The sequence below is a fragment of the Homo sapiens genome, chromosome 15 (assembly GCF_000001405.40).
Source record: "Homo sapiens chromosome 15, GRCh38.p14 Primary Assembly".
Taxonomy (NCBI): Eukaryota; Metazoa; Chordata; class Mammalia; order Primates; family Hominidae; genus Homo; species Homo sapiens.
The window spans coordinates 60,783,791-60,811,775 of NC_000015.10; the positions used below are offsets into that span (position 1 = coordinate 60,783,791).

Here is a 27,985-nt window from a genome sequence, read left to right on the forward strand (position 1 = left end):
CTGAGAAAACTTTAAATGCCAGGGTTTCAGAACCTTTCAGATCAACAACCTGTCTGTTAGCCACCCTGAAATGAAGGAAACCCAGATCCATGTGGCTAATCATCTTTTCAAGACTGGCAAAGAAGAGAATTTGTACGCATGATAATAAACCATTCCCACAATTAGTTTAACACAATGATTTCTGGTCAAACCTAGGGGAGCCATCCCTCCTTTACATCAACGGCTTCCACATGCTGGTCAGTAAACAGTATGGGCAGGCCCATGCTTTGGTTCTCACTGGTCTGTATCTAACTGGGGAAAATAAGGATAACATAATAAGTTTCCACGAAGCTAAATATATTCAAAGGAGAGAATTATTCCTTACTCTAAGATAATGTCCTTTCTATTTTTTCAGTCCCCAAAGTCCACTTTTTAGGGGAAAGATGACAAAAAATAGATGGAGTTATTTTGTTGTTGTTGTTGTTCATGTTATTCCTTTGCAGTAAAATATAGGGACCCTGTATTGGCCTCCCCAAATGTTACTGAAATCATACTGCTTCATTAAGCACATTAACCTTGGATCTTCCATTCAATGGGGGAGATGGAGATTCTGGACATTCCAATTGGGTCACTCCAAACTGTGTGGCAAAAAGTTCTGGTCCTGCTGGCATTTCAAACTGTGCTGCACAACCATTATAGAGCTTTGATTCCATCACTGTGTCTGTCTGTCTACCCTACCTGGCTGTGAGCATCTTTGCCCAGGAACCACTGCCTGATTCACCCTTCTGTTTCTGGTGACTAGCCCAGCACTGAGTGTACTGTTGTTAGACTGAATCCATAGTTGGATGTACAATATGGGTGAAATGCAAAGAACAGCTGTAAAATTGAAGAGAAAGCTTTCAGTGTTGGTTCAGAAGACCTAATTAGCATCCTGGTTCTGCTATTTAACAGCTGTATGACTTGAGCAGTGACTCTCTCTCATACTAATTTCTTTTCTTTAAAGTAGAAAACCAACCTAACCTCTATAAAGTAGAAATGTCGCCTATGCCCTTCACCAGTATCCTAGCTGTGTCCTTGTGTGAAGGGTCATGTGAAAGTGCCTATACATACATGTTAATTTCATTCATTTCTCTCCATTTTATTCCCTGACCAGATGCTTCTCATATTTAGATGTCACCCCTGTCCCAGCCCTGGCGAGAGGAAATTACAAAGCAAAAAGCCAGATCCCCCAACCCAAGGATGTGGAAGTCCAGAGGCAGCTGTCAGCATGCTTCAATTAAAGACAAAATCAAATACAAGCAGCATCCGTTTGCATTTACTCACGATTATTGTGTTTGACAAGATAACCTGTACCCACTTGTACATTCATTACAGAGCTTCTGAAATGATTTTTCTTTGTCTGTGAACATAGGAATTTTTAATGAACAGTTTCAGTGTCTGGTTTCATGCACTCGAAAAGTAAACATCAGTGAGCATCTTTCTAACAGGCTTGATCCATGCCCTCAGATGGTCTACCAGGAGGCAGACTTGTGTGGGTTTGAAACTTTCTTCCTGAGGTCACTGATGGAAACAAAGAAGGAGAAACTTTCAGCATCCCCTTTCCAGTGATAAACATTTTAAATAAATGAATAGGTAAACAGAGAAGGGATCTCAATTTTAATTGCTAGTAAGTGAGGCATAAAAAGGAAAAGAGAGAGTTGTAACTGCCAGGACAATCTCATGCATTCTTTTGAACAGATTCATCTACAAATGAATGTGGCACAAGGAAATGTCAGGTGTTCTGCAAGCAGTAGCTCAGGAAGCTCAAGTCAGGTCTCTCGTCTGTCCCTCCAGCTAGCTACATCTCACATCATGCTTCCTCACGTTTCAGGGCTGCAGCCTCGGTAGCCTTCACCCAGTTCCTCAAATACATAATCCTTCCTCTATCCACAGGACCTTTGCATATCACACTCCCTTTGTCTGGTTCAGTCCTATTCATGTTTCCGATCATCGCTTCCTCGGGGAAGCATTCCTCCCCTCCATATTGAGGCTAAAGTATTTCCAGGGGACAAATCCTTCATTGCGTTTGTCACTGTTGTTGTTTTACATTGATTTGGTGGCAATCTGACAAGCTCTGTCTCCTGCAGAAGACTGTATGCTCCGCACAACAGGGCCTGTGTCTCTGTTCTCCATCTCATCTCTGGCACCTCACAAGGTTGGTACTCAGTATAACTATTTGTTAGGCACTAAATGAATGGAATGAATGGATCCCTGACAAATAACTTCACCAAAATCTTTTATTAAAGACTTGCCTTTGCAAGGAACCCTGTGGAATACGCCAAAAGACATGGTTCCAGGCCTCTGGGGGCTTCATCAGCTGTAGATGTCATGTTTATACATACACGACATCACTACGGTTGAGAGTTGGGCTGTATCAGTGTACAGGAGTGCTCTGGATAGGATGTTCTACCTTGGACAAGCCACTAAATACATCTGTCCCTCCATTTCCCCATTGATCAAATGGTGACAATATCAGTGTGCTCCTTGTTGAAAGGTCAGGGGATAAAACAAGATAACAGAAACAAAAATGCCTCAAAAAGATAAATATTACTAATACCTTTTACCTAAAAGTATCCACCTCCTTAACCAACTCTACAAAGAGTCTTGAGCCTCGCTAGAGAAACACGATGGAAGCTACTCTCTTTGTGAGATGCACCTTGCACAGCAGGAGTGGGCTGGGCCAAGTTGGGGGCACAGTCCAGGCAGGTGGGAAGACAGAGATGGGGCTACTCTAGAGAGCTAAAGGACACCAACCTTCTGCCACCAGGGCCAGCCAGGGTTGACAGTGGATCACGTGGCCTCCCTGAAATAGGGCTACTGAGCAGCTTCGTGATGCACAGAGACCCAGGGGAAAGGAGCAAAGGGCCAGATCCTGCTGCAAAACACACTGCCCATCTGCCCTGAGGTCTGTCATTCCTCCAGTGGTCCTTGGGCCCTGTCTTGCCTGGGACTGGCAAACAAACAGGAGGCCTCCTCCCTCCCTGATGCTCACCCGACTGGATCCACACCTCACTCAGCAACAGCTGTGCGAGTGCAGGTAAAGTCTTTCTGGAGTCTCAGCTCGTGATAGGCATTTAGCAACCTTCCCAGCGGAGGTGTGGAGCAGACGAATGATCACAGAGTGAGAACCATGGCTTTTCTCAGGGTCAGTGTCTCAGGAACCATGGGGTGGTGTGTGAGTGGAATCTTGTCAGTGTTTTGTGAAGATACCTAAGACTTTCAGTCTATAGCTCTGAGAATGTCATCCCATTTTACAAATGAGAAACAGAGAGGTTAATAAGCAAATCTACAGCAAGTCATTTAATGCTGCAAAGGTGTAGTCCATGGAAAGAGATCTAACAGGAAAACTCAAGAGAAATGCTGGGGAGCGCCATGGGGCCAACAGAACAGAAGGCCCTGTTACTGCTCAAGCAGCTGCCACCAAGCCTGCGAGCTCAAGGATGCTGGGCTGGCTGAGGGACAGATGTGGCAGGCATGCACGCGATTCAACAATGCAACAGTCCCTTTCTTGTTTGTTTGGAAAGGTTGTACCCGCCTCGAATGCTAGCAGCAATCACGAAGGAGCCACTAACTGTGGCATTTCTTCACAACATTTCCCCTGCAACTGCGGTCAAGGTGGAGGGATGGCCACAACCAGTCATCTTTTCTGAGTGTTCCTCTGCAAGGGGTGGAGTGGGGACAGCATACGTTAGTGGGCTAAGAATTTGCTTATCTAACAGAAATACAGCTTAACTAACCAAGGGATACATACAATTGTTCTTACAAATTCTGCAACCCATACTGAGCACTTATAAAGGCCAGGCCCTGTGAGAGATACTGAAAATGCAAAGCTGAATAAGGCACCTTGACTGCTTTCAAGGAGATCTTTCCTAATTGGCTAGGAGAGGATATAACCCAAAATTTACAGCTGCCTTTTGGCAAGCCTATCACTGCAATCTACAAGGTGCTATGAGAACTTCAGGGAAGGAGAAACTCTGTGGGAAGAGCCTAGGAAACCTTCCCCAAACAAGGCATTGAGGAAAGAGTGGAAGTTCATCAGGCATCAGAAAAACCATTCATTCATGTATTAACATTCAACAAATACTTAAGAAGTATTGATTGTGCTGGGCACCCTTGTGGCTGCTGGGGATACTGCAGTGGGTGAAACAGCCCAGTTCCTACCCTCATGGAGCTAAGTCTGGTGGCAGTGATAGGCACACAAATAGTGAATCACAAACTTGGAGAGGTCTATGAAGGAGAAGTACAAGGTGTCTGAAAAGTATCTATCTGGGGAGCTGATCATGTCTGAGAGGCAGAAGAAGCTTCGGTGGGGATGTGACATTTGAGCCGAGACAGGAAGGATGCTGAAAGCAGGGGTAGGCTGAAATTTCCGGGCTGAGTGAGCATCATGTGCATTCATCCACTCCACTGACATTTATGAAGAACATGTTGTTGCACCAGGGTCCCTGATGATGCACAAGACACATCTCTGACCTCAAGGAGCACACAGTCGAGTGGGGAGACAGATGATTGCAATAGAATGTGCTAAGTTCATGGCTGGTGGGGTGGGGAATGCTTTCCCATTAGAGGGAACAGTGTGTGCAAAGGCCAGGAACGCACAGCTCAAGACATTTTAGTGGGAAGTTAAGGGTTCCAAACTCCCCTCGATTGACTGCTATGTGACGTGTGCTTGACCTATCATCTTTCTTTTTCTTGCTTAAGAACGAAACTCCTTTCTCTACTAATCACGGTGTTGCTGCACCAAGAAGAAGCCGCCTCAGCAAATGCTGACGCATGCATTTTGCAGTGAGCTGGAAGTGCCTGGCCTAGCTTGGCCTGTGCCTCCCTCCTTTCCTCCCCAGGCAGGATCCACACAGTCATCAGCACCACGGGGCTGATTGCTTAAAGAAGGCACCCTCCCTGCCTCATTGCTCCAAGCTGGCCTCAGCCCAGGTACCTCAGCCACACCCACGGCCCATCCAAACCTGCTGTCTGAGGGTCAGAGCCCCCTTCCATGAGAAAGCCCCTGTCCCGCTTAATAACATTTTCTCTCTGCCTGTCTAATTAACTCCGTCACTGTATCTGCAGTCAGATAAAATGCTCATTTCACACCACATTAATTTTTATCAGCTGAACATTAAGCAACACAAAGCTATCTATGCTTGGTTTAATTTACATACTGACAGACCTACAAAGCGTTACCCACAGTGGCTGCGAAGCAAATAAGCAGAACTGGCATCAAACAAGGCTCTTCAAAATGAAATATTGATTTGCAAGGCTGACAGTAAAGAAGGGTTGGAGGGCTATGGGAGAAGAAGCAAGGAATAGAAGAGTGATTTTTCCTTGAAGAACAATTATTGATGTTGTCACCAGTAGGCCTCCCAAAGGCCAAACAGAGGAGCCAGCTGAGGCCAGGATCCCAAGGATCAGGTGTTCCCAAGGAACACAGCCCCACAGTCCATACTGCTCCCTGGAAAAGGACTCTCTTCATCCTGGCATCAGAGGCCATCCCAGCCCGAAGGAAAATGCCCTCAAACAGCAAAGTATTTTAATCACATACACAAACACTTAATATATCTTGCTTCTGTAACTTTGCTCAAGCTGTTTCTCTAGAAGAGTCTTCCTTCTATTCCATGGCCAAACTCAAGCACCACCTCTTCCAGGAAGACTTCCCTGGACACCCTGCTTCCTTACAAATGTGTTGCCAGAATTCCCAGCACTGGGTCTGCATTGCACCGACTATCCATACCGTTTCTTGATAATCTATATGTATGTTTCTTTATCCCACTTGTTGTGAGCTCTTTCAGGGACAGATCTAGGTTTGGGGCAGCTGAAGTTTAAGCAAGTTAGGGGATTTTCTTTAAGAAGAAAGAATTGTAAAATATCTAACTTTTGCAAATATTACAGAAACCTATAACCATGAAAATAAATTACTAGGGGCATTCTCAGGGCTTTAGGAGAGGCCGGTGCAAATGAAGGGTCCTGAAGTTTAAGTTTTATCAGCTTTGAAGTGGGTCTACTTCTGGTCTCTTGAGTGCAATTCCTTGCTTGTAACAAGCATTCAATAAATATAGGCAGCATGAATTAAATGAATAAAGAAAAAGGAACTACTTTGGGGTGCCCAGTCTGTGATAGGCACAGCCAAATAACTTTGGGAAGGATATTCTCCTCTAAGCAGCACAGCAGCCTATAGATGATACAACCGATAAGTGTTGAAGCCAGAATTGATTTCCAAGACTCACCTTCCTCCATCTGAGAACCTATGACCCAAGAGAAAAAGAAGCAATACCCCAAGTGAAAAGACAAGTGGCTCACACAGGTTAAGTCTTTAGACTTTAGAGGTCTTAGCACTCATAATTTCACCCAGACCAGTGGTTCTTCCACTTTTGTGAGCATCTAAATCACCTGACTCACTTATTCCATGGCAGATTCTCTGACCTGCAAACCAGAGAGTCGAATTTCTCATGTCTGTATAATTGGAGTGGAGCCTGAGAATTTGTATTTTAAATGTGTCCACTCACAATCTTGGTGCAGGTTTTCGAAGACTACACTTTGAGAAACCTTAACTCAACTACAAATGTTGATGTTGAAGGGAAGTGCACCAGGAGAATTAATTGGGTGAGCGCTGATGGAGAGGCTAGTGGAAAGCTGTATTTCCTTCAAGAAGCTGGGATGTGACTTTAACATGGTGTGGCACCATGGCCTCAGGAAGACTGGGGACTGACAGAGAATGGAAACTGCAAGTCTAGAACCTGATGAGTAAGAAGGCTGTATACATATTTTAAAGTGCCTAGGCAAGCCACCAGTTTGAGAACATTCCTCGTCTTTGTGTGACTTTCAACCTGCAGATGTTTTCAACTGAGTCCCCCATGAAGGAGAGGAGCTGAAGACCTTCTCCTACCACAGGGGCCAATGCTGGCTGAGTATTCTGCTTTGCTATGTTAAGAATTTCAAGAGGTAGCTCCTGGATATGTAATGCACAGCGCTCTTGTCCTGGTTATATATGGCTTCTCATGAAGAAAACTTCTGGCCTAGCTTCAATTTCACAATTATGCATGCTGGGGCTTGTAGGTACCAGATGGTTCCAGGGTTACCACAGGTATTTTCCTTTCAACACCATCATGGTAACGTTTTTCTCTTCAGAAATGTCTATGACCTTCAGAGGCCCTAGAAACGCCCCCCCATTGCCCCCCCAAAAAGCTTCAAAATCCAGGACTGTCTATTGTTTCATTGTCTTTTGCTTGTTTGGTGGTGTTTATTGGGAAGAAAATGCAATAGATGCTTTGGTATCAAAAAGTCTGGCTCTTTTAGAATCAAACGTACATAAAACTGATTGTAGAACGAGCCCAGGCTGATGTCATGGGCTCTGAGTTCAGGCCTGATTCAGTTACTACTTGGGCAAGTCACTTAACTTCCCTAGGTCATCTCATCTGTGATATAGACTTGATAATATTAGTTCTGCCTCCCAGAGCTGTGTTAACGGAGACAAAGTGTTTTGAAATATCTAAATATAAATGTAAGGGCTATTGGCTTTTGGTCATAATCTACTAACCCCTTACAGATAACAGTTAAGTTATCTACACACAATAATTTTTAAAAACCATTTTCAAGGCAATGGAATGCAGTCAAAAGTCCAACAGGAACTGGAAGGGAGTCTGTCCCCTGAAACATGAACCTTCACCAAGTAAAATTTATGAATTTGTGGGGTTTTGTCTGGGAGCACTCCCAAGTTAGCTTTCAGCTCTGGATAGCTTGAACTGTCAGAGAAATAAGTCAGAAAAGGAACAAGAACATAAGGGGAGAAATTCTGGAAAGGTGGGAACTGCAGAGGCAGCAAGCTGCAAAATCTATGTACAAAATCTGCCCAATCCTCGGCTGGCTGCAAAAATATATGTGCATGAGGGAGACTCCAAGGGACCCAATACGAAGAAGCAGCTGGAAGCTAAAAGAACAGAAAAGTGACTTTATCTGCTGTCGACCGCAGGAACAACAGAGCTGGAATTTGAGTCCAGGCAAGTCGAGTGGTTGCTAAAGCAAAAATTATTTTCAGAGAAACAAACAGAATCTAGGGTCTCTGCAACAATCATTTGTTTTGTCTATTACCCAATCCAAAGTCTCCATACATGCAAATAAAGAGTAAAATGTAACACATAAGAAAAAAAAAAGCAGTAATAAAAACCAACCCCAAGAATACTCAGATAATGCCCTTAGCTGATAAGTACTTTAAAGAAGCCATTATAAATATGTTCAACAAATTGAAGGAAATATATACATAATAAATGAACAGATATGGGACTTCAGTGAGAAACAGAAACTATAAAAATGAACCAGATAGAAATCCTAGAGTTGAAAAGTAGAATGAATATAATGAAAAAAAATACTACTGTATGGGCTTAACAGCAGACTGGAGATGGCAGGAAAGAGTCAATGGACTTGAAGATGAATTAATAGAAAGTATTCAATCTTAAGAACAAAGAGAAAATAATGAAGAAGAGTGAACAGAGCCTCAGTGACTTGAGCATTATAAACCATCAAACAGTATACATATATGAAATAGCAAGTTCCAGAAGAACAGTAGAGAGAGAATGAAGCAGAAAAAGTATATTTGAAGGAACGGCTGAAAATTTAACAAGTATGGTTAAAGACATCAACTTATAGATTCAAGAAACTCCGCACATCCTAAGCAAGACAAATACAAAGAAAACAATATCTAGACAAACCACAGTCAATTTTCTGAAGTCGAAAGATAAAGAGAACATCAAAAAAGCAGCCAGAGACCTACAGCAGAAACAACAATATGAATGATAGCTATTTCTCTCACAAATAGCAAAGGCCAGAAGACAACGGAATAACATCTTTAAGGTACAGACTGAAAAACATTGTCAACCCAGAATTGTATCTTCAGGAATAAAGAGAAAATAAAGTCCTTTTTGGATAAACTGAGAGATTCATTGCCAAGAGATCTGTACTAAAAGAACTGGAAAAGAAAGTTCTGCAGTCTTAAGGGAAATGACACCAAATGGTAACTCAGATCTACAGGGAGGAGTGAGGATCACTGGAAATGTTTTCTCAAAGATGTAAGAAGTTATTAATTTTTCCAGTGGGTAGCAAATTTATACCATATAATCATACTTTGCCCTATAGTAAATGACACATTGCCTCTTTGTCACAAAACCCCTAAATTCTACAAATACTGTCTTTCCTGCTCCCTTCCTCCCCATCCCCACCACTCCCTCAAAAGAGAGAGAGAGAGAAAAAAAAAAAGAGAAAGAAAACTTGATTTTATTTTCTAGCTGTGTGACCTTGGGCAAAAAGTTAACTTCTTGGTGTTTTAGTTTCTTCATTTATAACAAGAAAAAGTGGAGTAAATGATCTCAAAAGTTCCTTTTGGCCTGAACATACTGTGATTCAGACTAAACTGGTGCAGTATGTTAGGAGTAGTCTTCATTTAATTTTTACTATTATTATGGTTACAGTAACTAAGTCTTAGTCTTCATGATCAGACAAACTCATAAAATTCATTCAAGAACTAATAAGGCTTAGAAGTGTCTTACACACCAACATCCTTTGGAGTCTCATCACTTAAAAACAACAAAAAAATATGCTGCCATGGCTGAAGTAATCAAATGAGGTAAGCCACAATACATGTGCTCTGCAAACTGCAATGCCCAATGCAGACAGAGGTAAGGTGGTTTGATTATCCCAACTGCCAGATTCCCTTTCACATTTTCAATATATTGATGCTGGATGCCAGTTTCTTAAGTCATCTCAAACACCAAGGAACTACATTAAACCATATCAGAATGTGCTTAGTCAAGTGCGAAAGTTCACTGCACAAGTCTTGCCTGTGTGAGAAGCAGAGAGTAAGGAAGCCTTGAGCCTCCAAGGACTGGGAACAGTTAATTAAATATTCAGTGTGTCCATGTTTCACTTGGGGGAGAATTTATGAAACTTCAAAGAGCTTTCTGGTGATTTGCCACAGAGATGGACTTAAGCCAGGCTAGACTCCAAGGCTTACTGGCCACCAAATCCTGGGAGGCTGCCCTGGGGTAGCCTTCCTCAGTCCTGATGCTCTGTGACATTTGAGCCGTGCAGGCTTTCTCTCCCGCCTCAGTGCCTCTGTGATTCTGCCGGATTAAGCAAGCAGTGGGAAGTTCCTGACTCAGACAGTGCACTCTAGAACGGGTTCTTTGAGGACCTGGGTCCCAGCTGGCTCTCCAAGGTGACAGGGAAAAGGTAGAAAAATACAGTCCCTTCTTTGGCAGCCTTTTTACAATTCTGCTGAGTGCCGTGTGTTCAACTGTTTCTTTTCTTCCCCAGAAAACAGTCACTGCAAATAACATGCTGTTTGGTAACAGGTCTACTTAAAATGCCACATTCATATAATTATTTACAAATACTGGCATAAATGAAATAAAGGTCTGACTAAAACAGAAAATCTCAAAGCCCAACACTATTGCTTTAATGAAGAGAGTAGAGAAAGGCTGAATAATCTGCTGTTTCACCGCGTTCTTGAGAAACCTTTTCTCCCTCCTGCACACATATTCCATGTTTAATCTTCCTTTTTTAATTTGCTCCCATTACCCAACTTATAGCACATAATGAAGTATACATATCACCTGTGTTTTCAAATGGCTTTTAGATAGATTTGAACATGGTCACCAGAGAACCATTACACCTGTGTGTATGCTGCCCTTTGGAAGAAAAACGACCATAAAGTCCTAGGGAAAAATACTGGGTGCATACCACTGAGCCAAAGCTTGCTTTTAGATATCCAAAGCTTGCTTTTAGATATCCAAACCTCCACTGACGTCACCAGCTAACTGAGTCCCCAATATCCCTATGAGCTGCCTGCAGGTTTCCGACAGCAAAATCCAATACATGTTCAAAATGGCAATCATTAATTTCTAAACGATTGGCCACTGTTTGTTGAATAACAGTACTTCTATTCTGATAGGGTGGAGTTATCATTCAACCAGAGGCAGAGAAAAAGCACCTGGCTTCCTTACTTGCTTTCTGTTTAGAAGGGTGCTGTGCCTCATGCGCCCATATCCTAGGGCTCACTGCTCACAAGCACCGTAGGCCTGGAGTTCTGCCTGTCCACTTTCTGTCCTTCAACCACACAAATGTGGAAAATGGGTGGTGCTGAGATTCTGCCCTCAGAGGGGTTCATTTCAAAACAAATCCTGGACCTTAGTTGCTAAAATGCGACACCCCTTCCCACTGCTTCTCAATTACATAAAAACCTCAAGAAACCTACCATAAGCACTGGCATTTATAATCTATCACCATTTTGCTATGCATATAGGGTGATATCAGGTATCCAAAATCCCCACACACTAGATGTATGCCACCTCAGGAACCGGGAAAAAGAGTCCTTACCTCTGAAGAACCAACCTGAAGTTTGTGGTTGGTGGTGGAGACAGCCATAGAGAGAATTCAAAATGGCAACCCGAAGTCAATGTTTCAAATGGGCTATTCACCTTCTGTAGGCTGGCAGGAGCTCTTCACCTTTACTCCTGTGCTCACCACGAAACAACAAGAGCAGCAGCAGCAAATAAAACCCCAACTCAAAATGGGCTGCTTGAGATGTAGAATTTGCTTTTATATTCTTCTTCTCTAAACTGTGTTGGAAAGGGCAGCCAAACCCCGGGAGAGTATTTTTGAGCTAAGAATTTGACAACTGTTTAGACTGGAAGCTCCCTGAGGGAAGGCTCAGTCTTTAAACTGTATTTCGCTGAGGCACAGTTTGATACCATGGTGGTATATGGTAGCTAATATGATGCAATGATGAAGGAGGGATCTCAAACAGCCACTGATCTCCTAATATCACAACTTCAAACAGCTTCCTGCCCTCCCTCCCTCCATGGTGAGTAAGGCAGAAACAACAGGTTGATTTGTCAACCACAGACAATCAGAGGAGGCCTTCCTTATGGCGCCTCCCTATATATGGCAACTCCCCTCACCTAGCCCACCATTCTCCCCTCACCTCCATCCCTACCAGATGTGACATGCCTTGTAGACTGTAAGGCACTGCACCACCATAAAACATTACATAAGACAAAGTAATGTAATGGAGATAACTTTGGGAAATTACCCAAAAGGCCTCATGCCTCGGTTTCTTCAGCTTTCAAATGGGGATCATACTACCTGATGTCTTGCCTACATTACAGGATCATTGTGGGTATCAAAATGTGTAAAGCCTATGCAAATATAACCATCATCATTATAACATTTTCTTAACCTTTGCATCCTCAAAAAAGGGAAGTGCAAAGTGAATGTGTGGTTCTTGACAGAACTGAAAGAAGCCTGAAGTAGGAGTGAGACAGGCCTTAGCTGTGGTTCTGCCACGTCTCCTCCTGGGTGCGGGAACCAGGCTCTCTGCTCTCAGTGCCTCTCTGTATCACAGTGAGGGTGGTATTCTAGCTCTGCTGGGAGACACAGAATGTATGCTGGAACAGGCTTGAGCTCAAGAGCTTCCCCATGCACACGACTCTCCAGGCACTCACCCTTTTGACTTCCCCACATGGAGAAGCCTGATTCTAAACTTGGAGAGGTAATGAGACCTAGCAGGTCAGGCTGGGCCAGCCCATGGCAGTGACCAGGTCGGTATAAGCTTTTCACCTCTGAAAATCTTTAAACTATTTGGGAAAACAAATTACTCTGAAAGAAAATCAGACAGATACCACTTTATACCCACTAGGATGGCTATCCACCCCCCGCCAAAAAAAAAAAGAAATAAAATAACAAGTGTTGGTAAGGAAACTGGAAACCTTATGTGTACATGCTGGTTGGAATATAACGTTGTCACTATGTAAAGCAATTTGGTAGCCCCTCAATAAATCAAACATAGAATTATCATATGATCATATAATCCAGCAATTTCACTCCTAGGTATATACCCAAAAGAACTCAAAGAAAGTGTTCAAAGAAAAACTTGTATGCAAATCTTCATAACAGCACCGTTCACAATTGGAAAAAGGTAGAAACAACCTCAATTTCTCATCAACTGATGAGTCGATAGACAAAATGTGGTACATTCATACAAAAGAATATTATTCAGCCACAAAAAAAAGAATAAAGGACCCATACAGGCTACATCCTGGATGACCCTTGAAAATATTATGCTCAGTGAAAGAAGCCAGTCACAAAAGGCCACATAATATATTATTCCATTTATACAAATACCATGAGTAGGTTTATCATTATTTATGTCTAAATATATTTTATTTATATATTTATATAATATATAATTATATTATCTATATATTTATTAATTATATTTATTATTATTATTATTATTTCTGCACAGAGGCAGAAAGCAGATTAGTGGTTGCCAGTGGCAGAAGGGAATGGGAAATGGGATTTCCTTTTGGGATAATTAAAATGTCCTGGAACTAGATAGTGTCATGGTTGCATAACTTTGTGATTGTCCTAAATGCTACTGAATTGCACACTTAAAAATGATTAAAATGGTAAGTTGTACATTATGTGTATTATACCATTAAAAAAAAGATAGCCATACATAGGTGGGAATGAGGTGGCTGGGAGAAGGGACAGTTCTGGAGCTCCTGTCCAGGACAGCCTTCCAAAGCCATCTTTGCTGCACTGTGTGTGCCTTTCCAAGGGCCTGGGTTGTACATTAATTGAGAAATGATTCCTAATAAGTCCCAAGAAGCCACAGGTCTTTTCCTTACAAACAGGAAACAATCACATCTCATGGCAGCTCATTACACATTCTTTGGGTACCATGAGTTGTTTTAAAACCGTGAAATTAGTTCTGGCAGAGTTTACAGAAAAACACCCATGAGATGAGACTGAATGAGTTATGTAAGACTTCTCGCACTCTGCTTATGAGATATTAACTCCTTACGGGCCCAGCCAAGGACACCGGTGTCATTTATAAAGTAGTGAGCACACCCTGGTTCCCACCAAGACCAGCACGCGGTTGACAAGAAGCAGCAGTGGAGCCCTAGATCTGGATGGGCTCATCGAGCAATTGCCAGCTTCAGCAGCTAGGTACTTCCTTCTCCACAAGAGGCCGGTGAGGCTGCTAGCCAGGTGAAGGGACTTGCTCACACAAACTGGCTCAACTAAAAGTTCCAGTCTTTTCCCAGGAGTTAGGCTGACCTTTTGGGGTGGTGCACGGAAAGCTTTAAAATCAACCAGATGTGTAGAAGATTAATACGATCATCACTGGCCTACAGCTATGCCACAAGACCAGCCCCAACCCACCAGGAAGATAAGTAATCTGATCCATTGAGCTTGAACTCTGGCATTAAGGAGACACATATTTCAAAAGTTTCCGTCTGGCAATAGTCACTAAATTAATTATTATACATGAGAAAAAAAAACTTAATTAATGTGTGAGCCCCAAACAATGAAATGAGCTCAGAAGCTTTCCTCCACCCCTTCCCCTTCATTTCCCCAACAGACACACACACACACACACACACACACACACACACACACACACACACACCACCTGCAGTGTACTTACAAAATATGTATGGAATATTTTACCTATGAAATATACTTCATAATTTATTTAGAAAGTAGCAAAGCATTCAAAAATGAGTTTAAAAAGCTTGTTCAAGATTTGTCTCAGGAATCAAGTACTGAACTTGGAGAAACCTTAGGACTCTACTTAGAATCCATGGACTCTTATTTTAGAAATAACATGCTTAGTTGTCTGGTTCCTGAGCACTAGCTCATTGGAAGAGGAGACAGGGAGCACTGCAGCAAGGTACCCTAAGCAAGAAGCAAGTATTCACCACCAGAGTGGGAAGAACAGAGAGGACTAAAGGCAAGCAGAAGTCACCAAAAAAATGGCACCATCCCAAGCCTGGAGCCATGGGAAGTGCCAGCAAACCCTCTCACCCTAACAGGCAGCATGGTAGCGGGGAGGGGACACAGGCTTAAGTATCAGACAGATCCAGGTCTGAAAGCCAGACCTTGCTACTTATTAGCTGTGCAATATTGGGTAAGTTACTTCCCCTCTCTGACCCCTAATTTCCTTCTAAAAAGGAATGATATATCCCCACTCTAAAGTGGAGGCAAGCATGTGTAACTTACAGGGACTTTGTGAAAATGGGATAAGTTATATAATGAGCTAACAAAGGCATCTAGTTATTGCTCAATAAAGGACTTTTTTTTTTTTTTTTAAACTCAAGGACAGTGTATTATGGCGTGGGCTGATTATTCATGCTCACAATGAGAACCTTGAGTCATGCCGAGAGGGCTGACATATAGCTGTGTCCTCAGTGAGAGGGCAGGGACCTTCCCTTTAACCTACCCCAGGATCCCAATACCTCAGGCCTCCGTGCCCTCGTGCTGGTCTCTGGAACTACACTCAGACTCTCTATCTCTCTTTGAAAGCTACTTGCAGCTAACTATTCTTCTGTAAGTTATCCAATAAACTAATTTATCTTAAGGTGTCAGTGTTCAATAATAGCAAAGTTTTCATGGGAATCAGTTAGCAAGGGGGAACCGCTATAAACCAACAGTGATGTTTCAGCAAAGGTGACAGACTGATGAGGAATTCACTTGGGGTCTGGGGGCCTTCTTGGCGTCCTCTCAATTAGACTTTGTAAGCAGTTTCCTTTTTATGGCTAGCCTGAAACATTACAATATGGAGTCGAGACACTTCATGGGGCCCAAGCACTGGCTGTTGCTGTCTGGCACGTCTTTATAAGAGTTAGATGTTGATACACATCCACTCAAAACACAATAGCTCCTCTTCTGATCGATTCATATTTATTTATTTAATTAATTTATAAACTGCATTGGTCCAAAAACATTGCGGGGGAGATGAGTCACTAAGGTAAACAAGTTCAGATGCCGAAAAATCCCACCACCAAGATACTAAGTATATCACATGCTACATGCCAAGATGCACTGAAAAATCAAAATCATTTATTTTTCTTTGTCTTACTTTCCCCTGCAATCTGATGTTCTTCTAAACACCCATGTCCCAGAGACTGCAATAGCAGAGAGGTAGATAACGAGGGAGGGGCACAGGAAGAGACAAATGGCTGAAGCATTTCAGAATTTATCAAGATATGTAGATAGGAATGGATCAGTCTTTGTCTTGCTCTCTGTTTCTGTCTCTCAGTGCCTCTATCTCTTCAAAATAATAACAGAAATATTGCTAAGATCAAATTAAAAAATTGTCTCTGGCTCTGTTTCCTATAGAGGGCTGCAGCCAGGGCTGTGTTATTCACTTGTCTATCTCCTGGGCCTGCAGCCATGTGCTACACCAAGTCTGCCTCTCCTCCCAACCTCGTATTCAGCCACCCTCACGTTGGTTGCCCAAAACTGGCTACGGTGAGAGTATTTACACCACAGAAATTGGCAAACTTAGACATCAGGGCTTTTTTTTTCCTTCCTTGCTCAGTAGAACAACTTCTGTAGAGTTAAACATTTCCCAGCACACTACTGATACAAATACTTGTTAAATAAACAAAAGAAGAATGACACGCTGTTCCACTTAATTCAATCATTTCCAACACCTCTCTGGCCCTAATCATGACAAACCCCTCTGTAAGTTCTTCTCCACAACAGGATGACATGCCCTGGGATTCAGTTATGAAGCAGAGAAGGAAATGCCAGGAAGACTAATTTAAAACAAAATTTCGTTTTGGTAACAGCGTCTCTGACTCAGCTCTGGTGGAAAGTATCAACCTTATAAACCCACAAGGAAGAGGTGAAGATTTCACATCGTTTCTTCCTTTGATGTTAAAAAGAGAACCTTCTTGAAGGCTGGGACAGCACTGTGAGAGGAGGGCCACCAGGCTAGCAGAGAGCAGTCCCTTATAGCAGCCTCCTCTTGGTGAACTCAGGGGGCGAGAGACTTTCCCTGAGCCCGAGTGTCCTGGCTATAGACCAGTAACTATTATAGCACCTCCTCTGTCTACCCCACACAGCATCTACCTCCCAGCCCCCCAAACTCCTATTTATCCTCCAGGACCCAGTTCATATGCCGCCCCCACCTCTTTGGGAAGAGGCCTGCTCCCTCAGCATGCAGGTCTTTCCCCAGGTCCTTCCTGTCTCAACTCCAGCATTTACTATGTTGGGCTGCAGTTAGTTCTTATCGATTTGGTCACTCCTCTGTCCCTCTGTGACCCTCTCAAGGGCAGGGGCCACGTTGAGCCTGCATTCCCAATACTTTCTGCAGTGCTTGGCACACAGCGATTGATTGCTGCATGCCTATTAAAGTGAACCACTGAAAAACTAGACGTGAAGGGACTTTTAAACTGGAAATGTAATCTATAAAGTATAAAGAGTTATTACCAAAGGCAGACCACAAAATAGAGTGGCACACTACTGCCAACCCTTAGGAACAGCCCTTACTTGGCGCAGACCCTATTGAAGCATTTAATCACCTCACCACTAGGTAAAATTCGTGAAAACACCTGGTGAACTTGGGTGGAAAGGTTCAATTAGGAATTACAGAAAACATTCTCTAAGTAGTGGCCTCCCCCTCCCCCCTCCTTCGACAGCTTTATCCCAGGTTTCCACACCCTCCCTGCCCACAGGGCTCAGAGGTAAGAATATTATATAAGGAACGAATGCTGCCTTCATTTGTTTTAATAAAGAAACAGCCCATTTAAAGAAACACAGACTTTAGTGGCTTAGATATTTCTGAATGTGAATATGACCCAGAGGCTCAGGAATACAGAACGGCTGTCTTGAGAATGAGCGTTTTTTTCCTATTTAAAACATTCTGGAAAATTGCTCTGTATCCCCATGCCAAGATGAAAAAATAAAAAACATAAGGGCTATTTGGAATGTCTCTGCATTTTACAGATGACTTTAATGCATAATGTTATAAAGACATGAAGCTCTCTGGCCTCAAATGCCCCCAGTGCAGCCGCCTGAAAGCCCGGGAGAGGCACGCCACGGTGTGGAATCTGTGAGCAGACCCCACAAAGAAAACTCACGGTTTCAGATGAGCTTTGTGGTTGTTCGTGGGCTTTTTAGCTTACAGAAGTCTCCTAAGAGGATGCAAGCAGGCTTGTGTGGAATAATCCCTTAACTGTATGGTATAAAATTTGTTAATATAAAATGATAATGATGATGATGGTGGTGTATCTCAGTGTAAGAAGCTGTTTTCACATATATTTCATCTTGTTTTATTTGACATTGCAACCACGTTAGCTAGGTAGGAAATGAATTACTGATGTTATAGATGTGGAAAATGATGGCTGAGAGAGGGTTGTGGCTGGCTCCAGATCTAATTGCTAGGCAATGAATGGTCTGGCACCAGAGCCCAGAGCTACTGTACAATGCTTGGTGGGAGTGGGAAGTTGGGTAAAAACAGGCACCACTGTTAAGTAGGGAAGATTTGAGAGAACACAAGTGCTGGATCCTTACAGACCCAATTCTGCACCTGGGCCCTGACAAGGACAGGCTACATGATCATGGGTCAACCGTTACAACCTTCTGGTCAATTTCCTCATCTGCGTATGTGAATAGCAATTCCCAACTCATGGGTTAATATGCAGACCGAGTGTTTGGGCTCCATTACAGCACAGGTAGGAACCAAAGAAGTGGTAGCCATTAGTATTTTGTCATTATTTCTAGCTTTACAGAGGGCTATTGGTCCTGTAAAGAGGCTCATTTCATTTGTTCATTGTGACTCTGTCTGGGTGGGAATTCTCCTAAATACTTCATGAGGCCCATCTCTCTCTTCCCCTGCAGAAGCTTTGCCAAGGACAAATAGCTCAAGTATCTGGCTTCCATGTTCCGAAGGAAGAACCTTGCCTTTTAAGGCATAATGTGTGTGTGTGTGTTTATGTGCGTGTATGTGGCATGTGTGTGTATGTGTATACGTGGGGTGTATGTGTGTATGTGCATGTCACGAGCCTGGTGGCTTATGTCTTTTACTCCTCTTTACTTTTGAAATAATATTCACCTGTTGTTGTCTTTTTCAAATATTTCTATGTCTACAGAGATGAAAATCTTTGCCCAGATTCAATAAGGCAAGAAATCAATTAAGGTTTTCATTTACTGCTTAGCCTCAAAAGATAAGACACTGAGAGAAGACCTAAGAAAGTATGTACAGTTTCCTGGAGGTTTCATTCTGGGTTCTGTGTTCCAGAAAAAATAAAACAGGAAGGAAAACCCTTACATGTCCTATTTAAAACCTAAATGTTTTGTTTCTTTTTTAAAAAAAAAAATTTAAAGCCATACCACTTTATTTTGATTAATATGGACAACTCCAACAAAAGAAAGATGCCTCAATTTTTTGAAGACAGTCCTAAACCTAACAGCTTGGTTTTTAAATGGTTACATTTAAATATTTCTTTCTCTATTCATTTCCAAACCTGGGCCATAAATCACCCTTAGGAACACAATGGCCTGTGCCTATAGCAATTTATCATTTGGATAATGTCACTTGTTCAGGTGTGCACTAATTTATGCCTCAAATTAGAACTCCTGTTGGCTGAAACCTTGCCTTTCACGTGCACATCCTGAGCTTCGGCCCCTTCGGACCAGCTGGGAATGGTCCAGGCAAGGAAGAACCTACGCAATTCTTCACTCAGGGAAGGGGGATGGAGGTGATGAAAAGAGAGCTGGGGCTTAACAGTTCTCTTGAGTTCACTTGTTTAGACTCTTAATGTTTGTGGCCCAAGGATGCAACCTATTAGGAAATACTCAACAAGTCCAGACTAAAGAGGAGGTCCCTGCATGCAACGTGCATGTCAGCTTTTGCTGCTCCAAGAAAAGGCAAGGAATTGAACAGCAGTGGGTTCAGAGCCCACAAGGCAGCATTGCAGAGCGGGAGGGATGCCAGAGTGGCTGTCCCAAGTTGGAGGCCTAGCGTTGCTGCTAATTCCCTGTCAAATCATCTTTCTGGGCCTCAGTTTCCCTAGCAGTAAAAGAATTCTAAGATCTTCCTTCTCTGGCATTCTGTGACTCTCTCTCAGGAGGAAGTAGTTGTTTATTACTATAGCCAGCTGTTATTACTACCTACAACCCCCATGATATCCCTATTTTCTCCAGTTACCCAAAAAGAGATGGCACAGAAACAACTCTTAAGTTTCTGACCCACAATATGGAGAATCGGTACTTACACATTCGGCAGGGAAATCTCTATTTGGAATTCTCCCCTTCTATCTCCACTCTATATTTTCTCTCTTTCACTGTCTCTCTCTTCCAAATATGTCAGGAAGAGACAAAGCACTTTCTAGCACCAGCATTAAAATGAACTACCAGGGCCAGGTGCAGTGGCTCATGCCTGTAATCCCAACACTTTGAGAGGCCAAGGTGGCGGATCACCTGAGGTCGGGAGTTCGAGACCAGCCTGACCAATATGGAGAAACCTTGTCTCTACTAAAAATACAAAATTAGCCAGGCGTGGTGGTGGGTGCCTCTAATCCCAGCTACTTGGGAGGCGGAGGCAGGAGAATTGCTTGAACCCGGGAGGCGGAGGTTGCAGTTAGCCGAGATCACACCACGGGACTCCAGCCTGGGCAACAAGAGCAAACTCCATCTCAAAAAAAAAAAAAAAAAAAAAAAGAACTACTAGTTAACACATGTTTGCTCTGTGTTAGCTGTTATGTCATAGTTCTTTAATAAAATAAATTCATTTAGTGCTCCCAACAACTTCTGGAGGCCCACACGAATCCTCTTCATTTGACAAATTAGGAAACTGAGGCTCAGGGAGGTAACCTGTCCAAGATTGCACAGGGAATGGCAGCATCTGAATCTGAAGCCAGGGCCATCTGAATCCCAAATGAGTACTATTTCCACAGTGCTGAAATGAGCAAGTTCGTGAATCAGGGCCATTTAAAATGTGGCTAAGTGAGTTTGATTGCTTAAGCTCCATTGGTAATTAAGATCAACGGTAGCCAAGAAGGACTACAAATATTTTTGAATTTCCACAAACGAGGGGTGTGACTATAGAATTACATATGTATGAGATTAAACAACCGATTTCAAGAGCCACACACAAAAATTAGTCTCATTGCATTTTAGCCAGGGTTTATATATTTGAATTGTAAATTCAGAGATCCTTTCTCAGTTAATATCTCTTTACAACTCTGTGATAATAGCTCTTAAATTATAATAGGCTCTCTCTTTCAATAGAAGAAACCAGAAACCTAAAATTCACATTTGTTCATTGTTCTTTTGTAATGCAGTCATTGACTTTCTTATATGTGTAGCTTTAAACACAATTTCCTCATCGCCCAAGTAAATCAAGGGAAAATGGCTTCCCAGACACAGTTTTTAAATGCACCAGTTTTGTTTAAGGCGTGAAAATTGTGAGAATCCCATGGATCCAGGGTGATGAATCACTGCTTCCGCCAGTCACTTCCCCAACCTGCAGCTGGAGTTGTCCCAAGCTGCTCTCTCCCACACCCCATAGGCAGCCATCCCCTCTCACCATGACGCCACTCTCCTCTGACACGCAAGGGAACACCTGCCAGAGGGTGACTTCACCATACCCAGTCACTCTGACAACAGCCCAAATAAAACCATGTCAGTCATTTGAACCAGAAACAACAGTCCAACAGGGCTGGGGAATTCAAAGTCATAGGAAAGACAGAGAGAAAGAGGGAAGAGAACTGTTGCCACAAACAATTAAAACCCAGGCACAAATACCTTAATGTAGGAAATGCAGGGAGAAGGAGGCAGCCAGAAGGGAGGAGTCAGGAGTCAGAAGGGACTGGGTTTGAGCCCAGCACTTACCGGATGTGCAACCTTGGGAAACTTACCTACCTTCTCTGATCTTGTTGTCCTATATGTAGGATAGAATAACAGGACCCAACACATAGAGTAGTTGGGATTCTGAGTATTTATGTAAAACACTTAACACCTAGTTAGCACTCAATCCATGTTAGCTGATAATATATTGTATCATTGATATAGGATTACATGGTAGGTCTATGAACACTCTAGAGCCCAGTAGGCTCCTCTCTCTGGCAAACTGAGCAAAAAGAGCCTTGGATTCCAGTCCTGGTTTTGCCACTGGCCAGATGAGGCAAATCACATTACTTGGTGTCAGTTTCCAATTCTGCCAACTAAGAGGGTCATTTCAATGCCTTCCAAAGACCCTTTTATAGCTCTATAATATGGTATCTTTTCCTTTACACAATGTTCAATACCAAATTGGCAACACAAGTCACAGAAGTTTAAATCTCAGGTGTTCAGGAGCCTCTTCGGAGGACCAATTCTTCTCTCTGTCCCAGGAATCTGTAGGGGGTAGATTGGGCAGGCTTTGGGGCCTAGCAATGCTTTGTAAAGCCTCCCTCTTGATTGCTTGGCCAATCTGACTGCATCCCTCATAAGCATTTTAGGCAGTGACATGCTGCCTTGAAATTCTTCCTTTCAGTAGAAAAGTCAGATCTGTCAGGAGGAGAATAACTCCCTGCTTTTGATTTCTTGTTAAGAACCCAAGGCGGGAAAAAAATGCAAGGAGATTAAAAAAACAAAAACAAAAACTTTGGGGCAAAGGAAAATACATACTCTAGCAGCTGGCTGGCCAAGGTGCCCGAGTGAAAAGCACCCACAATTCTGCACACTCTGACTATAAGTTTTTCTCTGTATTAAGGTGTCTATAGCTCCACCCATGAACAGCAGCCACATGCAGACTAAATCAGGCCAGACCAGAATGGAATAGTTAAAACATCTCTTGCCATGCCTTCCGGAATGCCACTCTTTTAATATCGCAGAACTCTTATCAGTATTACTAACGGAAACTTCTAGATTGCCTGTACTGATTTCTCTCCCAGGGAGTTGCAGTGGTAATGAGAAAAATGGCAATGCCTGGGATCTATAAGACTTGGTAGTTTCATAAAGGACCTTATCTATACACTCTCTTTTGATTACCTGCAACAATGCTACAAAGTAGGCACTGTGGGTATTATTATTCCCATTTTACAGATGGAGAAACAACCAACATGCTGAGTGAGTTAAGGACCAGTAGGTTAGGAGTAGAGTTAGAACTGGAGTCATGGCTTTCTTGCTTCCCATCACATGCCCTCTCCCTTTTTGGAACACCTTTTATGGACAAAAAGGAGAAAAAGGCAGGCTTGAAGGTGTCAAAGGAAGAAAATTGGGCCAGTTTTCTTTGTAGTGAGGCTCCTGTCTATTTAGAAAAAGTCATTCAATGTACCTTAAGGTAAGAAAAACCATCTATGACAAACCCACAGCCAACATTATACTGAATGGGGAAAAGTTTAAAGCATTCCCCCTGAGAACTGAAACAAGACAAGGATGCCCACTTTTACCACTTCTATTCAACATAGTACTGGAAGTCCTAGTCAGAGCAATCAGAAAAGAGAAAGAAAGAAAGGGCATCCAAATCGGTAAAGAGGAAGTCAAACTGTTGCTGTTTGCTGATGATATGATCCTGTACCTAGAAAAACCTAAAGGTTCATCCAAAAAGCTTCTAGGTCTGATACATGAATTCACCAAAGTTTCAAGGTACAAAATTAATGTACACATATCAGTAGCCCTGCTATACACCAACAATGACCAAGCTGAGAATCAAATCAAGAACTCAACTACTTTCACAATAGCTGCAAACAAAACAAAACAAAACAAAACAAAAACTTAGGAATATACCTAACCAAGAAGGTGAAAGACCTCTACAAGAAAACTACAAAACACTGCTGAAAGAAATCATAGATGACACAAACAAATGAAAACATATCCCATGCTCATGGATGGGTAGAATCGACATTGTGAAAATGACCATACTGCCAAAAGCAAGCTACAAATTCAATGCAATTCTCATCAAAATATCACCATCATTCTTCACAGAACTAGAAAAAACAATCTTAAAATTCATATGGAGCCAAAAAAGAGCCCACATAGCCAAAGCAAGCCTAAGCAAAAAGAACAAATCTGGAGGCATCACATTATCTGACTTCAAACTATACTATACGGCCATAGTCACCAAAACAGCATGATCTTGGTATAAAAATAGGCACATAGACCAATGGAACAGAATAGAGAACCCAGAAATAAAGCCAAATACTTACAGCCAACTGATCTTCAACAAAGCAAACAAAAGCAGAAAGTGGAGAAAGTACACCCTGTTCAACAAATGGTGCTGGGATAATTGGCAAGCCACATGTAGGAGAATGAAACTGGATCCTCATCTTTCACCTTATACAAATATCCACTCAAGATGGATCAAAGACTTAAATCTAAGACCTGAAACCTAAAGATTCTAGAAGATAACATCAGAAAAACCCTTCTAGACATTGGCTTAGGCAAAGACTTCATGACCAAGAACCCAAAAGCAAATGCAACAAAAACAAAGATAAATAGACGGGACTTAATAAAATTAAAAAGCTTCTGCACAGCAAAATAAATAATCAGCAGAATTTACAGACAATCTACAGAGTGAGAGAAAATCTTCACAGTGTATACTTCTGACAAAGGACTAATATCCAGAATCTCAAACAAATGAGCAAGAAAAAAACAATCCCATCAAAAAGTGGGCTAAGGACATGAATAGACAATTCTCAAAAGAAGATACACAAATGGCCAACAAGCATATGGAAAAATGCTCATCATCACTAATTATCAGGAAAATGCAAATCAAAACCACAGTGGAATACCACTTCACTCCTGCAAGAATGGACATAATAAAAAAAATTTAAAAAATAGATGTTAGTGCTGATGTGGTGAAAAGGGAACACTTTTACAGTGCTGGTGGGAATGTAAACTAGTACAACCACTATGGAAAACTGGGTGGAGTTTTCTTAAAGAACTAAAGGTAGATCTACCATTTGATCCAGCAATCCTACCACTAGGTATCTACGCAGAGGAAAATAAGTCATTATATGAAAAAGATACTTGCACACACACGTTTATAGCGGCACATTTTACAATTGCAAAAATATGGAACCAGCCCAAATGCCCATCAATATATAAACATATATATGTTATATATATGTTTATAATATATAAAACATAATTTATATATATGTTTATAACATACATTATAAACATATATACAAATTTATGTGTATATATACACACACACACCATGGAATACTACTCAGCCACAAAAGGAATGAAATAATGGTGTTTGCAGCAACGTGGAAGGAATTGGTATTTGCAGCAACCTGGAAGGAATTGGAGATTATCATTCTAAGTGAAGTAACTCAGGAATGGAAAACCAAACATCGTATGTTCTCATTCATATGTGGCAGCTAAGCTATGAGGACACAAAGGCATAAGAATGACACATTGGACTTTGGAGACTCAGAGGAAATGTTGGGGGGTGGCGACGGATAAAAGACTACACACTGGGTACAGGGTACACTGCTCGGGTGATGGGTGCACCAAAATCTCAGAAATCACCACTAAAGAACTTACTCATGTAACCAAACGCCACTTGTTCCCCCAAAACCCATTGAAAAAATAAATTAAAAAATGTAAAAAGTCCTTCAGCTCTAAATTCTATAAATAAATATTCCACACATCCTAAAAATGGCCAGGTGGATATCAAACTTGAATTGGTAAATTGTGTGGTACCAGTGGCCTGAACTACAACAATTGACAGCAATGTGCACAGTTAATCCCAATTCTGTGTTTTTCAAAATTCATTTATTTAAAGTTGTACCTGCACGTTAAAGAGACAAATAATTCTACAAAGCTTTATAGAAAAACCAACAGTCCCTGCCCATATTTCTTATCGCCAAGGGCAACCACTTTCAACTTCTTTAGCTGATTCTTTTGATATTTACCTCCATATCTCGAAATAACAGGTTTATGTAACTACTTTTTGATGTTTCTGTTTTAGGCTTTATCTACTGACCTTCCACGACGGAAGATGAGGTTTTTGCTTTCTTTCAAGAACTCCCACCCCCACCACACACATGCACATTTCCTGTTCCCCATCCTGCCAATTGCAATTTATCACAGTTTTGGTTGGATCAATATTCTGTGCTTCTGGTTTTATGACAATGTAAATGCTATTCACCAATGGGGCATGTTATATACAATGAATATTCTCTCTTTTCTGTATAATATTATGTTTTTTTTTTCTGGCATTAATAATTAACTTTTTTGCTTGCTTAATTTTCTCTCTACTTATTTCTTATTCAACTCCAAACTCTCCAAATGTAAGTTTCAATGCATTCAGACAAATCAGGTGTTCTATCAGTTTCACCTTCTTGAAGCTATTTCCCCAGGATCCTGCTGACCTGCTCCAGTCTAGATTGTTTTGTTTCTGGGCTGCTGTAAGGCTGTTGTGTTGTGATTTCTCTTTCTCATGATCCTGGGGACTCTCTTCACTCTCTATTTTGTTGGCTTCCTTGTTTTTTAGAGCCTCCTGTCTTTCTTGGTTTATGCCCTCAAGTTTGATGGTGCATCTTTCAGTAGTCTCCTGAAAGAGTGTGTGTAAGCTAACATTTTGGAGACCACACATATCTAAAAATGTTTTTGTTCTAACCTCACATTAATTAATAGTTTGGTTAGATAGAGAATTCTACACTGGAAACAATTTTCCTTTGGGACTTTGAAAACCTTGCTTCATCACCCTCTGGTTTCCATGTTGCTGTTGAGACATCTAACATGGGTCTAATTCTTGATCTTTTATACAAAAGCTGCTATTTTTCTTTGGAAACCAAGGGCCTTCTTGTGTTTGGTGTTCTGAAATCTCATGATCCTGTCTTAGTGTAGATCTAACCTCACCCCTTACACTGGGCATTTGAGAGATTCAAGGAGAAACTTCAGTGTTGGGAAATTTTCCTGAATCACCTTTTGAATTATTTTACCCTTCCCATCCCCTGCTTATTTTTCTCTCGTTTTTTGCTTCTACTCTTCAATTTTTAATTTATTACAGCTCATTATTATTTTTGAGTATTCCTTTTTTTAGAACATTGTTCTTTGCTCATGAATGCAATATCTCTACTTATCTTTCTGTGTTTTTTAAAGTCAAGGGTATTCCACCCTTTCCCTCCAGTTTTTTTTTTTTCCTCCCTTCGTAGTTTCTGTTTCCTCTAACTTGCTGCTTTCTCTGTATCTCACATTATATGCTTTCCTTAAATGACTGGTAATTCTTGTTTATCTGCTCTAATTTAAGAGTGGGGCATTAAAAAGCTGAGTGTGATTTCTGGGTACACGAAAGGGGTTCATCCACTGTTAGAATAATGGATTAGGCCATTTCCTTGGGGAGCCACAATGCCAGCTTCTTTGGTCTTTTATTCCTCTTAGACTAGTCAGATACCACAGAGAAAATTCCAGTTGCTGCTTAGAGATAAACATCTGGCTGCTATTGTGTGGGAGACAAGTCCGAAAGAGAAAGCAGGGAGTCTTCAATTAAATACATGAACCTATGTCTTAACCCCACTGTTTGCACACTGTCCTGAGTCCAGAGACACTCAGTTTCACACTACCCAAAGGATAATTGTCTAGCTCAGGAGAGGGATGGTACCATTTCCTAGAGTGAATCTAGGATAAAATTGCTATTTCAACAGACTTTTCATCCAACTTATTTTTAGCCCATCGATTTCATTTTCAGAGATACCTGGTGCCATCAGTTCTTAAACCTGCATGGCACTGGGTTCTGTGATAATCTGGGTTTTCCCCCTTGCTGGCTTGGGATTCAGCTTTCCTGTATCTGATAAGTCAGTTATCTCTATTCCATCTGCTTTCCAGCTCCCAAAATATTGTTGCCAATCTATTCTCCACTATTCTTTTTGGTCTGTGGGTTATTCTTGAAAAAGACTCTTTACAAATCATTTTAGTGGATTTTGAGGAGAGAATAGAATTACACATGTGTATTTAATCTGCTATCTCTAACCATTCTGTCTAAGCTCCTTCATTCTGTGTTTAACATAGTAAAACAGTCAAATATACTTTGGACCAATGATATAATACAGAAACATTCTTTGAAAAGAAATCTTAATCCACTGGAAAACTGACAGTTTCTTTATGGCATTTATTATTACCCACATCTCAATTCTCATTTCTGACTAGTCCATCTCTGCAGAACCGGTCCTGCCCAATGGATTTATAA

General features: G+C 41.7%; 1 protein-coding gene across 2 annotated transcripts in view, besides 5 other annotated features; it reads right to left on the bottom strand.

Annotated features, from left to right (window-relative positions):
- Positions 1 to 27,985, bottom strand: part of RORA (RAR related orphan receptor A) — a 741,019-nt gene that overhangs the window by 295,507 nt on the left and 417,527 nt on the right. The window lies entirely within an intron of this gene.
- Positions 4,401 to 4,901: an enhancer, noted in NCBI's record as "H3K4me1 hESC enhancer chr15:61080390-61080890 (GRCh37/hg19 assembly coordinates)". NCBI's record gives its function as "activates a minimal SCP1, AML or CMV promoter by ChIP-STARR-seq in primed H9 embryonic stem cells {active_cell/tissue: H9 hESC(primed)}" and the evidence as "EXISTENCE:reporter gene assay evidence [ECO:0000049][PMID:30033119]".
- Positions 4,902 to 5,402: an enhancer, noted in NCBI's record as "H3K4me1 hESC enhancer chr15:61080891-61081391 (GRCh37/hg19 assembly coordinates)". NCBI's record gives its function as "activates a minimal SCP1, AML or CMV promoter by ChIP-STARR-seq in primed H9 embryonic stem cells {active_cell/tissue: H9 hESC(primed)}" and the evidence as "EXISTENCE:reporter gene assay evidence [ECO:0000049][PMID:30033119]".
- Positions 12,408 to 12,587: an enhancer, noted in NCBI's record as "active region_9517". NCBI's record gives its function as "activates an Ori minimal core promoter by ATAC-STARR-seq in GM12878 lymphoblastoid cells {active_cell/tissue: GM12878}" and the evidence as "EXISTENCE:reporter gene assay evidence [ECO:0000049][PMID:35858748]".
- Positions 20,922 to 21,903: an enhancer, noted in NCBI's record as "OCT4-NANOG-H3K27ac hESC enhancer chr15:61096911-61097892 (GRCh37/hg19 assembly coordinates)". NCBI's record gives its function as "activates a minimal SCP1, AML or CMV promoter by ChIP-STARR-seq in primed H9 embryonic stem cells {active_cell/tissue: H9 hESC(primed)}" and the evidence as "EXISTENCE:reporter gene assay evidence [ECO:0000049][PMID:30033119]".
- Positions 21,200 to 21,494: a silencer, noted in NCBI's record as "tiled region #8359; K562 Repressive non-DNase unmatched - State 22:ReprW". NCBI's record gives its function as "represses a minimal TATA promoter and a strong SV40 promoter by Sharpr-MPRA in K562 cells {active_cell/tissue: K562}" and the evidence as "EXISTENCE:reporter gene assay evidence [ECO:0000049][PMID:27701403]".